The 15585-nt window shown below is 42.7% G+C and overlaps 1 annotated feature.

Moving 5' to 3' along the window:
• Positions 13102-13298: a silencer, noted in NCBI's record as "fragment chr19:43497577-43497773 (GRCh37/hg19 assembly coordinates)". NCBI's record gives its function as "represses an EF-1alpha promoter that drives an FKBP-Casp9 reporter gene in an ReSE screen in HepG2 liver carcinoma cells {active_cell/tissue: HepG2}" and the evidence as "EXISTENCE:reporter gene assay evidence [ECO:0000049][PMID:32094911]".

Below are 15585 nucleotides of genomic sequence, written 5' to 3'. Positions count from 1 at the left end.
CAATGGCACAATCTTGGCTCACAGCAACCTCCGCCTCCTGGGTTCAAGTGATTCTCCTGCTTCAGCCTCCCCAGTAGCTGGGATTACAGGCATGTGCCACCAAGCCCAGCTAATTTTGTATTTTCAGTAGAGACAGGGTTTCTCCATGTTGGTCAGGCTGGTCTTGAACTCCCAACCTCAGGTGATCCGCATGCCTCAGCCTCCCAAAGTGCTGGGATTACAGGCGTGAGCCACCACACCCAGCCCACACATTTTTACATACCAAGAGATCCTTTAATCCACCCAAAGGCTGACATTAGCTGCATCTGTAACACAACTTTTTCCTCAAATGTATGGAGATTTTTTTAGGCTTCCACTTCTATACTTGCCTATTCTCACTCCCTGTTTTAATTTAACATAGACATGCAATGCTAGATAATAGAATTGCTCTCTATCAGCTGAACGGGGGGAGCCTGTGCAGTTTCTGACACTTCTTATTGCATATGGATAAATACATTGGGTATTACACAGTCAGTTGTAAAAATCATTAAATGTGCTGCCTGGTTAAAATGACTAGACCCTTCTGGCTTCTTCTTTGATCTATCCTATTGTAGTTGGTTTGCATCTTGCCTAAGGTGTATATACCAAACTCGATATTTTCCTCCTGATAGTCATACTGGTAGTCTCCCTCGTGTGGCGCAATCCACAGATGTTTTTATTTGTGTGCAGCCATTCTTCAAACATCAAATGGTTTCTCTTGTGCTGGAATTACAAAAACTCAAAGAAATGTGTGATTTATGGGCGAGGCACAGTGGCTCACATCTGTAATCCCAGCACTTTGGGAAGCCAAGGCAGGTGGATCACAAGGTCAGGAGCTCAAGATCAGCCTGGTCAATATGGTGAATCCCTGTCTCTAGTTAAAATACAAAAATTACCTGGGCATGGTGGTGCACACCTGTAGTCCTGTAGGGAGACCCACCGAAACTATTGCTATAGAATAAATGATGAAATGCTCCTGATTATGATAAATACAAAATTGCATGCAGGATTGTGTAAAGACAATGCCAGGTTGGGCTGCCAGAATGAGCCTACAGCGCGTGATGTGCTTCTGTTATATGGATGGGAGATAGAATTATGAGATTAGAACATAGATTACAAATGCAACGTGATTGGAATACTTCTGATTTTTGTATAACTCCATTCCAATATAATGAGTCTGTTCACAATTGGGAATCGTAAAATGCCATTTACAAGGAAGTGAAGATAATTTAAGTTTAGACATAAGGAAGCTAAAAGAACAGATTTTTGAAGCTTCTCAAGCACTCTTAACTGTTTTACCCAGTGCTGAAGTTTTAGACAGTTTGTGCTATTGGTTTATTGTTCATGTGTAAAATTGGAAAAAATATTCTTCAATCCAATCGTGATCAGTGCCAAGCTATGATTGCTATGGTTCATTGAAATCAGAGAAAAGGGGGAGATGTAGGGAGACCCCCTGAAACTATTGCTACGGAATAAAAGATGAAATGCTCCTCATTATTGTAAATATGAAACTGCATGCAGGATTGTGTAAAGACAAATGCCAGGTTGGGCTGCCAGAATGAGCTAACAGCACATGATGTGCTTACCCCTGCAGAGAGCCTATGAACGGACATGCAGTCAGGGAGGTTTCACATTACCAAGATTCCTATCCCAGAAAAGCAGATGTCCATAGCTCTGGGAATGGAATGTGACCCTTGTGGAGAGCCTATAAATAACCCTAAATCCCTCAGTAACCTATCCCCACTCTCACTAAACTTAATAATAAATGCTGGTATATCCAGTGCATTGGCAGCATTGCAGGACCAGAAGGCGGTGACCCCTCTCGATATGGCTTTCACTATCTTGTGTGTGCCTTTTATTTCTCAACCTGCCGATCTGCCTGGGAACAAAGAAAGAGCCCCATTGCATTGCAGGCTTCTGGTCAGATCCTGCAATATAGTCCCAGCTACTTGGGATGCTGAGGCATCTGTAGAGGGAGAGCTGCCCCAAATCATAAATCACAAATAAAAGCCAATTACATCTATAACTAAATTAGTTGTAATTTTGTCTTATCACACATGTTCACAGCAAGCAACGGCCAGTGGAGTCTCTCAGGCCTCATCATTCTCACCCGGCCCCTCCTGCCTTTCCCTTTCACTTACAAGGACTCTTATGATGACACTGGGAGCCACATAGATAAGCCAGAATAAGCTTTCCATCTCAAGATACTCAACTTCATCACCTTTGTACAGTGTTTTTGCCAAGAAAAGTAAATGCATGTGTTCCAAGAGTTAGAATGTGGATTTTTTTTTTTTTGAGACAGAGTTTCCCTCATGTTGCCCCAGCTGGAGTGCAGTGGCACAATCTGGGCTCACTGCAATCTCCCCCTTGCAGGTTCAAATGACTTTCCTGCCTCAGCCTCCCAAGTAGCTGGCATTAGAGGCATGTGCCACCACGCCCAGCCAATTTTTGCATTTTTAGTAGAAATGGGGTTTCACCATGTTGGCCAGGCTGGTTTCGAACCCCTGACCTCATGATCCACCCGTATCAGCCTTCCAAAGGCTGGGATTACAGGTGAGAGCCCCTGCACCCGGCCCGGATGTGGACATTTTTAAGAGGCCATTATTCTGCCTCATATGGGTCACTTTCATAAACATCACCCACAACAAAAATGTTTTGCCTTCCTTCCATGTCTCACTTTTCTGTCTGCACAAACCACAGTGAAACACACTAGCTCTGCTATGAAGTGGCTGGATGACCCTGGGCCACTCATTTGACCTCCCTCAGCCTCTTTCCTCACCTGTAGTGTAAGACTGACTCTTACCGCATCAGAAAATGACAGTGGAAGAGTAAATTAACATGTGTAAGACATTAGTCACAGAGCCTGGTACCTGATGAGCCCTTGGTAAACATTCCTTTCAGTCCTTTCCTTTCACCTTCCCATTTTTCTTGCCCTCACCCATCTTCTCCTTCAACTTCTTTCTCTTCAGTAACTTACTCAGTCTAACCTGCCAATTAAAGAAGCCACACTACCCATTCTCTCATGACTCTGCTGGAATGTTCTTGTGATGAGGTCTGCTATCCACTCAAGGCAGGAGGTATTATTTATGTAGAGAGGTCTGTTTGCAACAAGAAATCAATTTTCTGTTCACACAAAATTTATACACAATTTCTCTTAACTTACACATACCAGTCTCAATTCTACCCTGTTATTTCATTCATGTACTTCATTATTTTGTTCTTCAGTCTTTCTCCTTACATCTTAAAATTAGGATAGTAAAAAAACAAAAATAATGGTCTGGGCCAGAAGAGGGGATTCCTTTAGCAAGATGAATGCTTTCCTTTTTCAAGATGAATGAATGCTATGTGCAAGGCAGCCCTGAAGCCCATTTCTGGGTTTGGCTTACATCAAAGCCATTTGACTCTAGGACACATTCTTAGATTCCCAGGAGATAATGATTGCCACGGAAGACACACCCACTCTGAGTATTCCTACTGTTGGGTAAAGGAATGTTTACAGTATGTTGTGCATTCTGTTTACTCCTCCTAAATTCTTCCACTCCTGGAAGTTAAGCTTCCCCACTAATCAGCTTCGTCTCCAGCTGGCCTGCCTGGACCCTGACTGGAAAACATCTCCCCACTCTGGATGTCCAGGGTGGCACCTTTTTCTATTCCCATAATTATAATAGCTCACACTGATGCAGGAATCACTATGTACCAGGCACTATCCTAAGAGCTTTCCAGGTAACTACACTCCTCACCAAAAGATCCCAAGTGCCACAATCCCCATTTTTACAGATTAAAAAAAACAAAAACTGAGGCAGAGAAGTATGTACCCACTGTCACCTAACCCCACAATTCAACCTCATCCTCCACTTCATCTGGTAAGAGGACACTCTAAGATGTACAAGGTCTCCTGAATGACATCCTCCTTCAAACATGATTTTTGTCCCATTCACTTTCAGGATTTGACAAACAGCCAGCATTTTGTTTTCTGTCTCACCCTTCACTTATGCACCTGTTCTGTAAAACTACAATCATAACTGCACAGCCCTCCATAAAAGCTAGCTTTTAGAAACCTCAATCTCTTTTAGAAAAAAGAAAGGCCAGCTTCCAAGTCTCACAAAATGTCATTTTTTATTCTATTGTCAACTATTTGCATGGCCATTCTCTGGCCATAAATGAGTGCACTAGAAACAGAAAGAGTAATGAGAAGAAAGTAGGAGGAGGGTGAGTTTCTAGATAGACACAGAGGGAGAAGATTATGAATCCAGAAAAATTCATAAAATGCACCCAGAGTGTGTGGCTTTGAGCAATGACAGCCCCACCTGCCACTTTCCATGGCAGTTGGCCTCTTACTTCCTTCTCAACCTGCCCCTCCTGGTCTTGCTTTCTTAGACCAATACAAACAACCTGGGAGCTGGGGTCAGATCAGAGCACACAGCACTGAGTGGTAGGGTTGGGAAAGACAGAAAAGGAAGACGAGTGTTGGACTCATGAAGATCTGACTCACCTAGGTACACATCACCTAGGCAGGCAATAGATTACTGAAGGGCTTTGCAGGACTCATGGTGGTTATCCAGAATGACTGACTGAGGCAAGGGTCTTGACCAATTGAGTTTTATTGAGCCAGAGCTTGACAGTGCACCCTGGGAATACATGAGTTGCAAAAAACCTCTGTGGCTTGTGTTTTCTCTGAAGACGTTTCAGGAGGCTTAGTATTTATACATTTGATTAAAGGGGACAAGGCAAGTTGGAAGAGATGGAGTGGGCAGAGAAACAATTGATCTAATCTTGTCTTTCTTCTTTGCCTCAGAAAATAAATATTATCAGAATGAGAGTTAAAATACTTCAGTTTTAGGACCTAGATTTTGATTGCTCACTTAAAGTTACGATTCGTATGTCCTTCTTTTACAAAGAAATATGCATCTTGAAAGGTTTTGAAGCCAAGAAAAAACAATTTGTTCAGGCAAACATCTGGAGATGCCCAAGATCTTTGGCTTTCCTGTTTACCCTATTCTTTTCCTTTCCTTTTTTTTTTTTCTTTTAGAGAAAAAACCTTGCTCTGTCACCCAGACTGGAGTGTACTCACTACAGTCTTGAACTCCTGGGCTGAAGCGGTCCTCCAGCCTTAGCCTCCCAAGTATCTGAGACTAGAGGCAGGCACCGCTGCACCTGGCTAATTTGATTTATTTTATGTTTTGTAGAGACATGGTCTCCCTTTGTTGCTCAGGCTGGTCTTAAACTCCTGGTTTCAAGTGATCCTCCTGCCTTGGACTCTCAAAGTGCTGGGATTACAGGCCTCTGCCAGCACACCTGGCCCCTCAATTCCTCAAAAGCTTTCAGAGAAATCATTGTAGAAGACATGACTTTGTGACTGTATGTTCCATCTGATCCTACATCACTAGGAAGGCTCATTCTTAAGAAGTCATGCCCCGTGGAAAAGGGGATGAAGACAATTCAGAAAAGGGCAAAGGGAAGTCACAGCAAAAAAGGGACAGTATAATCCTGGAACCTTATTAAAGTCACACAACTGCTGCTTCAATTAGAGGAATTCATTTGGCAAACATCGCTCTAACTGTATAGACTAGGTTTTCTAGAGTTTCTGAAGTGTCTTCCAATTGCAATGGCAATCTGACACATTTTTCTGAATTGCAGTCTGAATACAGTGTTCATGTGTACCTTTTGTGTAGTCCACACATCAGCAGGCACAAAGGTTGTTTATATATAAGTTGCTATGATTTCTCCAGAAGTTTACATAAGTCGTCAAGTTTCAGCTTGCAAGGTTTAATCTATCCATCTGACAAAAGGCTAATATCCAGAATCTACAAGAAACTTAAACAAATTTACAAGAAAAAAAAAACAAACAAGCCCATCAAAAAGTGGGCAAAGCACATGAACAGACACTTCTCAAAATAAGAAATTTATGTGACCAACAAACATACGAAAAAAAGCTCATCATCACTGGTCATTAGAGAAATGCAAATCAAAACCACAATGAGATACCATCTCATGCCAGTTAGAATGGTGACCATTAAAAGGTCAGGAAACAACAGATGCCAGAGAGGATGTGGAGAAATAGGAACGCTTTTACACTGTTGGTGGGAATGTAAATTAGTTTAACCATTGTGAAAGACAGTGTGGCGATTCCTCAAGGATCCAGAACAAGAAATATCATTTGACCCAGTAATCCCATTACTGGGTATATACCCAAAGGATTATAGAACATTCTACCATAAAGACACATGCACACATATGTTTATTGCAGCACTATTCACAATAGCAAAGACTTGGAACCAACACAAATGCCTATTAATGATAGACTGGATAAAGAAAATGTGGTACATATACACCATGGAATTCAATGCAGCCATAAAAAAGGATGAGTTCATATCCTTTGCAGGGACATGGATGAAGCTGGAAACACCATTCTCAGCAAACTAACACAGGAACAGAAAACCAAACACTGCATGTTCTCACTCATAAGTGGGAGTTGAACAATGAGAACACATGGACACAGGGAGGGGAACATCACACACTGGGGCCTGTTGAGGGGTGGGGGACTAGGGAAGAGATAGCATTAGGAGAAATACCTAAGGTAGATGATGGGTTAATGGGTTCAGCAAAACACCATGGCACATGTACACCTATGTAACAAACCTGCACATTCTGCACATGTATCCCAGAACTTAAAAGTGTAATAAAAAAGATAAAAATTTAAAAATCACAGTTTTAATTTATAATATACCAAAATGGAAGAAAAATGGAAGAAAATTCTGAAACCATTAGTTTTGAAATTTGAGCCAGGAAAAAATTTAGGATTCAGTCCAAATTGTAGGTAAATAACAAAATTTAAAAAAAAATGAACAGATCTAAAATTCAATAACCATTGTTCTGTTGTTTTCTTCTGAAAAATAATTTTCCCCCTCCTGTCTCCCATTTTTATGAAATAGAAATCATATGGGACCAATGTATTTCCAAAATAAGTTTTAGTCTTATACCTGGATTGTTTACATAAAGTGCAGCAAGAATGTAGATTCAAGGCCTCTATGAATACATAAATTTTATATATATATATATATATAAATATAAGAATATATATATTCTATCATGTAGAATGGCACTAAACTATATTAATGGCAGCAAATCTGTACAAGCCTGCTGCAGCCTCAATTCTTGCTTCTTCAGAAGAAAGAATTCAACTAAGTGTCATAAAGCAGAAGAAGAGACAGGCAAATTTTAGAGCAAGAGTGAAAGTTTATTTAAAAGCTTTAGAGCAGAAATTAAAGAAAGTAAAGTACACTTAAAACAGGGCCAAACAGGCGATGAGATTTCAAGTGTGTGGTTTGACCTTTGACTTAGGCTTTTGTATGTTGGCATAATTCTGGGGTCTGCATCTCTTCTCCCCTGATTCTTCCCTTAAAGTGGGCTGTCTGCATGTGCAGTGGCCCACCAGCACTTAAGAAGGGAGCCTGTGTAGTGTGTTTCCTGGAGTACAGTTGGAAAACAGAGACCAAAATAAAAGCTATATATGTAAATAAAATTGGTCTCCTTATAAAATCCTGTTATAAATTTCTATCATTTTTGTGTTACCTTGGCAACTACTTTTAATCTTCCTTGAACACACCCAAATTCCTTCTCTCTCTCTCTCTATCTCTCTCTGTGTGTGTGTGTGTGTGTGTGTGTGTGTGTGTGCTTTGAGATGTAAATTTACTACCTACTTTCTCTAAAACTCAGCAAGGGCTTCCTCAATTAAATGTTAACTTTTGCTTTTTGCAAAAGCACAATTTAAATCCAGCTGTTTTTTTTAACAGTGAGTTTTATGGGTTCATGCAAAAAGTTTTAAAAGAAAAAATCTGAAGTATTTCTGTCTCCCTCTATCTTTATGTGCACATGTATATGTTCTATGGTGTATCGCATATCACATATGTATATGTCCATACTTTTTTATACGTGGTATCAAATAAATGTAAAAATAAATGAGTACTCATCAATTAAGTAAATAATCCCAAATGCTTTTCAATACATGTGATTTTAGTAATCTTCAATAAGGGAAGAATGCTCACCTCCAATGAGCATGCATACCCATCTGCAGCCTCCTTAAAAAAAAATTATCAGGCCGGGTGCAGTGGCTCACGCCTGTAGTCCCAGCACTTTAGGAGGCCAAGGCGGGTGGATCACAAGGTCAGGAGATCGAGACCATGCTGGCTAACAAGGTGAAACCCCGTCTCTACTAAAAATACAAAAAAAAATTAGCCGGGCCTGGTAGCAGGCGCATGTAGTCCCAGCTACTGGTGAGGCTGAGGTAGGAGAATGGTGTGAATCCAGGAGGTGGAGGTTGCAGTGAGCCGAGATCGCACCACTGCACTCCAGCCTGGGTGACAAAGCAAGACTCCATCTCAGAAAAAAAAAAAAATTATCAGCCAAGAATTTTGTATCCAGCAAAACTAAAGTTCATAAATAAAGGAAAGATAACAGTCTTTTTCAGACAAACAAATGCTCAGAGAATTTGCCACTACCAAGCCAGCACTACAATAACTGCTAAAAGGAACCCAAATCTTGAAACAAATCCTGGAAACACATCAAAACAGAACCTCTTTGAGCATGAATCTCACAGGACCTATAAAACAAAAATACAATAAATAAATGAATAAAACCAAGGTATTTAGGCAACAAATAGCAGGATGAATGGAACAGTACCTCACATCTCAATACTAACATTGAATGTAAGTGGTCTAAATGCTCCACTTAAAAGATATAGAATTGCAGAATTGATAATAATTCACCAAGCAAGTATCTGCTGCCCTCAAGAGACTCCCCTAACCCTAAAGTGTCACATAAACACTTTAAAGGGTTAAAGGGTAAGAAAAAGACACCCCATGCAAATGGCCACAAAAGTGAGCAGGAGTAACTATTCTTATATCAAAAAAACTAACTTTAAAGCAACAGCAGTTAAAAAAGACAAAGAGGGACATTATATAATAATAAAATATTATAATAAAAGGATTTATCCAACAGGAAAATATCACAATCCTAAATATATATGCACCTAACACTGGAGCTCCCAAATTTATATAGCTATTACTACTAGACCTAAGAAATGAGATAGACAGTAACACAATAATTGTGAGGGACTTCAGTACTCCACTGACAGCACTAGACTGGTCATCAAGACAGAAAGTCAAGGAAGAAACAATGGGTTTAAACTATGTCCTAGAGAAAATAGACTTGAGATATTTACAGACTATTCTACCCAACAACCACAAAATATACATTCTATTCATCAGCACATGGAACTTTCTTCAAGATAGGCCATATGATAGGCCACAAAACAAGTCTCAATAAATTTAAGAAAATTGAAATTATATGAAGTACTCTCTCAGACAACGGTAGAATAAAACTGGAAATCAACTCCAAAAGGAACTTTCAAAACCATGCAAACACATGGAAATTAAATAACTTGCTCCTGAATGATCATTGGGTCAAATATGAAATCAAGATGGAAGTTTAAAAATTCTTCGAACTGAACAATAGTGACGCACCCTATCAAAACATCTGGAATACAGCAAAGAGTGTGCTAAAAGTTTATAGCATTAAATGCCTACATCAAAAAGACTGAAAGAGCACAAATAGACAATCTAAGGTTACATTTCTAGAAACTCAAGAAACAAGAATGCACCAAACCCAAACCCAGCAGAAGAAAGAAAATAACCAACATCAGAGTAGAACTAAATGAAATTGAAACAAAATAATACAAAATATAAATAAAATGTAAAGCTGATTTTTGGGAATAATAAATAAAGTTGATAAACCATTGGCAAGATTAACCAAGAAAAGAAGAGAGAAGAGCCAAATAAGATCAATTAGAAATGAAATGGGAGCTATTACAACGAACATTGCATCACTGCACTTCAGCCTGGATGACAGAGCAAGACCCCTCTCAAAAAAGACAAAGAAAGAAAGAAATAGACAAAGCCCCATGCTGGCAGTGCTGTGGAACTAACATCTTAGGATTGATGGAGAGACTGGACTTAGCACTTGTGGAAAGAGCCATATTTCCTGGGGGCCACGAGGCCACATATGCCCTGTGAAGACTGACCAGGGAGTGTTGGGCTGCTACCCACATTTCATGTATTTGTCAGGCAAAAATGCTTTAAAGATCATTCCACTTGATTTTCCTTTAAATAAAAATAATGTGGGAATGGAATGGAATTGCCGAGTGGCATGGTGGGTGTATGCTGAAATTTTTAGAAGCTGCCAGACTGCTTTCCATAGATATTGTACCATCTTACATTCCCACCAGCAGCGTGAGCATTCCAGTGCCTCCACATCCTTGCCAAAACTTGGCGTGGTCATTCTTTTTAATCTTAGCCATTCTAATAGTTCTGTAGTGGTATCTTTTTGTGGTTTTATTCTGCATGTTTTTCTTGAGGCAGAGCCTCATTATGTTGCCCAGGCTGGAGTACAGTGGGCCCATCATAGCTCACTTTCTCTTCAGGAAACTCTTCCCTGATCTTTCAGTCTAGGTCAGAAGCCCAGTAATATACAGTCATGAGGCCCCATATTTATTCTTTTTGTGTTTTTTTTTTTGAGATGGATTTTTTTTTTTGGCACTCCAGACTGGAGTGCAATGGTGCAATCTTGGCTAACTGCAAGCTCCACCTCTTGAGTTCACACCATCCTTGTGCCTCCGCCTCCCAAATAGCTGGGATTACAGGCATGAGCCACCATACACAGCTAATTTTTAAATTTTTGGTAGAGACAGGGTATTAGCATGTTGCCCAGGCTGGTCTCGAACTCCTGACTTCATCGGCTTCCCAAAGTGCTGAGATTACAGGCATGAGCCACCGTGCCTGGCTCGAGGTTGACTCTTTTTTGTTTTGTTTTGTTTTTGAGATGATGTCTCACTCTTGTTCCCCAGGCTGGAGTGAAATGGCACAATCTTGGCTCACTGCAACTTCTACCTCCCGGGTTCAAGCCATTCTCCTGCCTCAGCCTCCTGAGTAGCTGGGATTACAGGCACACACCACCACGCCCGGCTAATTTTTGTATTTTTAGTAGAGACGGGGTTTCACTATGTTGGCCAGGCTGGTCTCTAACTCCTGACCTCAGGTGATCCACCCACCTCGGCCTCCCAAAGTGCTGGGATTATGGGCTTCAGCCACCATGCCCAGCCAAGTTTGACTCTTAAGACTAGAAGCTTGCTACTTCAGAGTTGGTCTGAGGACTGAAATATATCACCTCTTATCCATCAGGAAATAGCATCACTTCTCTGAGCTTCAGTGTCCTCATTTGAAAATGGTAAAAATTCCTGCCCTGCAGGTAGGCAAGAAAGTTCAGAAGTGGTGTGACTAAAGTACTTACCTAGCCAAGTAGTCTTGAGCTTGAAGGCCTGTCTTGTCATTCAGGGGCTGTGGAATGGTCTCAGTGTTGGAACAGGGAGTGGCATTTGATGCTTGGTGTCATCCTAACCCCCACAGTCCCTGTAGTAGTTTGCTAGGGCTGCCATGACAAAATACTGCAGAGGAATAGACAAGCAAGAGGAGTTTATTGTATCCCAGTTCTAGAAGCTGGAAGTCCATGCACTTTCCTCCTCTGTAAGAGGTCACAGCACTTCCCATGAGCTCATATATACGGCGGAGGGAGAAACAGAAGGAGCAGGTGCCATGGGAGTCTGAGTCACCCATTGGGTCACTGGTGCCCTGGGACCCGCTTGAGCCTGACCCCGTACACAGCTCTCCCTGGGATGCTGGAGGCTGCTGTGCACGCCCCAGGTAACTCAGATGTCACCAGGACATGATGTGCCACTCAGGTCCCAAAGCCCTTGGTGTCCTATGGTCAGGTATTCGAATTCCACTAAGCCCAGGGATAAGCCAAGAGCTGCTTCCTGAATGAAGAGTTACCTGCAGGAGGAGGCGTGGTCTTTCTCTAGAACCTCCAGTTCTGCACAGTGAATCTTTTGGAGCTTGTGAAAACCTGCATAAAATAATACACTGCATTTGGAACATAGATGCTCTTACATTCGTTGATTTCTTATTTTTTTTTTTTTTTTTTTTTTGGTTGAGACGGAGTTTCACTCTGTCGTCCAGAATGGAGTGCAGTGGCGCCATCTTGGCTCACTGCAATCTCCACCTCCTGGGTTCAAGCGATTCTCCTCCCTCAGCCTACCGAATAGCTGGGATTACAGGCGCCTGCCACCATGCCTGGGTAATTTTTGTATTTTTAGTAGAGACAGTGTTTCACCATATTGGCCAGGCTGCTCTGAAACTCCTAACCTCAGGTGATCTGCCCGTCTAGGCCTCCCAAAGTGCTGGAATTAGAGGTGTGAGCCACCGCACCCAGCCTCACTAATTTCTTAATAGGCTCTTCCAGGAGTTATTGAGAAGAATATTTTACAATTCTAAGTGGAATATTTTAGCAGGAAGGACCGTGGTTTATTTCTACGATAATTCTGTTGTGGCTTAAACAGTTTGTTCTTTTGTAATTTGGGGTATTCCCTCTATCACCTATTGTTGACTTTCGACCTTTGATATTTACCCTATGCAAATTCATCAACCCCTGATTTTACTTCTTCAAAGCCAGCATGAGGCTAGTCAAGCCTGGTTTCCTCTCACAGGAAGTAAGGCTTTTGCCCCATGGTATTTGTGTAACCAGGTTACAAGATTTAAAAATCTATCGCAAGTGACAGTAATTAAAAACAAATATCAAATGTGGGCTACTCTGGAAGAAGAAAGCATTGGAATGTAGATTTTATTTGTTTATTTGCAGAGACATGAACCAGCTTATACTCTTGATTTCTACATTATTCATGGAGAGTCTAATGTCAATTTCTGGGAACAAAAAACCAACTTGAAAAGCTGTTTAAATTCTATTAGTGGGACTTCCAAAGGTACAAGGGTTAAGAAAAAGAGAGGAGAAAAGAGAAAAGAGGGGTAGGGAGAAAGGAAGACGTGACAGGAATGTGAGCCAGACAATAGAGATGGAGAAAAAGCAGTCAAGAGGGACAGAGGGCGCGGTGGAGGTCTGCAGGATCTGAAGATCCACCTCCCTTCTCCGGACGCTGACCTCTTACCTGATCCCAGAAACAGACTGAGCTTTAACTCTGACCACATACTCCTCAGGGTGACAGAGAGTGGGGCCACCTGCACCCTGCCAGCCTTCCACAGCCCCTCTGCATGGGCTCTGCCCCGCACCCTACACGTGCTCTGAGGCCTCTTATTGCAACAAATGACTTCCTCGGGCTTCCGTTCCCTCCACCGCCCCTTTCCTCTCGGTCAAGCATCTTCAATGGTCTGGATACGTTCCTTTGCTTCCATTTGTCACCTTCCACTCACTGGTCCACGTCCACTTCCATCCTCCCCTTTCTCTAACATTGCTTGTACTGAGATCAGAAACATCCTGCTTTATTGCTAAACCTGCCAGGAACTCACAGGTTAGTTTTGCATCCTTTGACACTGAGGGCCACTTCTTTTCCTGGAATAATCTCTGTGAGGCAAATATACATTCTAAAAATTTTGTTTAGCCTGTTGCAAAAAGATAAAGAGACTCTCCTCTTTTCACTCAGAGCATTTTCTATTCATTCATTCATTTATTGACAGAGCCTCCCTCTGTCACCCAGGCTGGAGGGCAGTGGTGCCATCCCTGTCACCCAGGCTGGAGTGCAGTGGTGCCATCCAAGCTTACTGCAGCCTTAACTTCCTGGGCTCAGGTGATCCTCCCTCCTTAGCCTCCTGAGTAGCTGGGACTACATGCACACCCCACTATGCCCAGCAAATTTATTATTATTATTGTGTGTGTGGAGATAAGATCTTGCTATGTTGCCTAGGCTGGACTTTGAGAGCATTTTTTTTTTTAGAAGAGGTGTAATTGAAAATTCTTTCTCTGTCCCTTGAAGATGTATGTAAAGCTTTCTAAACATACATAAGCATCTTGCCTGCCTCACAACCCAGAACTATCCTCCTCAAGGCCATAGGAGCCATCTCTTTGAAAGGCAGGCATCTGGCCAGAAAGCGCCCCTGTCTCCCAGTTTCTGTGAGAAGGAAGGAACCTCAGTTCTGGGGGCATCTCATTCCCAGTTGCAAAACTACCTCCTGTCATAGATAAGAGAGGTTTGTTTTTCCTGTGGATAAAGCCAATTAACCTCACAGAGAACCAACACAGTTACTGGGTGAATTTAGGATGAACTATGTGTGACAAATGGGGCCATTGAGTCCTCTCAACTGGGAACTAGTCACCATCTATCTGGAGACCATATGTGTAACGGGTTGCACCTGCTTGGCTGGATACAAAGGTGGGATTTCTTTCTGTCTTTGTCATCTCTTAGCAGATTGCATCACATTTTGGCTTAATGGTTACTCAATCATAACACAGGTTTCTTTTACTTCTACGGATGTGACAGGGGTTTCTGGACTGAGCAGAAATTTCTTTCTTAATTATATTTTTCCAGCACCCCCCACACAAACCTACCCCACCTTCTCTGAAGCTACTTCCCCCAGGCTTTAAAGGCGGCTGCTCCCCGGGGTTCCTCCCGGGCCCTGCCTCTCCTGGTTCATCTGATCTCCCACCCTCAAGGCATCGTAGCTTTCCTCCCTTCCATGTGGTGATGCCTTTCGGATCTCTAACTCTAGGCAGAAACCGGCTTCTCAGTTCCTCAGCTCAAATACCCACCTTGGGACGGGTGTCTGCACCGGGACAACCCGCCAGAAACTCTCCTGGTGGAACACGGTGCATGTTCTCTGGCTGCCCTGCAGTTTTTAAATGCCACCAGTACACATGGGGAATGTTCTGCCTTCCCAAGGAGGAAGCCAGAAATTTCATTGTCCCAGCACTCCTTGCAGGAGGGACACCAACACAGGTCCAGGCTTTCCCCATCAGGTGCTCCCATGAAAGACTCAGGATCCAGAACAGCACCAGGAAACAGAGTGTGCATGGCACCGATTTGCTTTTTGTTTTTAATTTTTTGAGGGGGATGGGGGACCAAAGGTTCTGGTGCAGAAGCTTCTGGACTCCAGGGCTAGCCTCAGCAGTGCAGGGTGTAGGGTGTGGTTTCTGCCTCCTGCAGTAGCCAGAAGATCTTGGCCGGAGCTGTCCTGTGCCTGTGGTTTGGTCCTTGCCCTGGGCCCTGTGGCCTACAAGCTGGATTCATGAGGGCCCTTGGAGCTTGGTGACCTTCCTACCCTGTCCTTTAACCAGTCCCTTTTCTGCTTCTTGCTGGAGTGAGCTGGGTGGTTTTCTCTGAATCTGCTCCTATCCTGGGTTCTCCCTTAGGGATGGGCACCCTGGGAACCTGATCCCTCCACCAGATGCCCAGCAGATGTTCTCATGCTTCCACTTTCCTTGCCCCTTTATGTCCGGTGGTCACTCCTTTCTGTCCCTTCCATGTCCTACATCACTCTCTGCTGTGTCCTGTCTTCTGCACCCTGTGGCCTCCACCCAAGTTTGCATCACCACCCATTCCTCCTTGAGTGAATACTGTTGTCTCCCTGGGTCTCCCTGTCTCCACAGTGGCCACAAGCATCTGAGCCAGCTTCTTCTCTGTGGCAGAGATGATCTTTTTCAGGCCTCCTCCGGCCATGGCCCTCTCCTGCT

This window comes from Homo sapiens, chromosome 19 (genome assembly GCF_000001405.40).
Source record: "Homo sapiens chromosome 19, GRCh38.p14 Primary Assembly".
NCBI classification, from domain to species: domain Eukaryota; kingdom Metazoa; phylum Chordata; class Mammalia; order Primates; family Hominidae; genus Homo; species Homo sapiens.
This window is presented reverse-complemented; position numbering and strand designations above follow the sequence as displayed.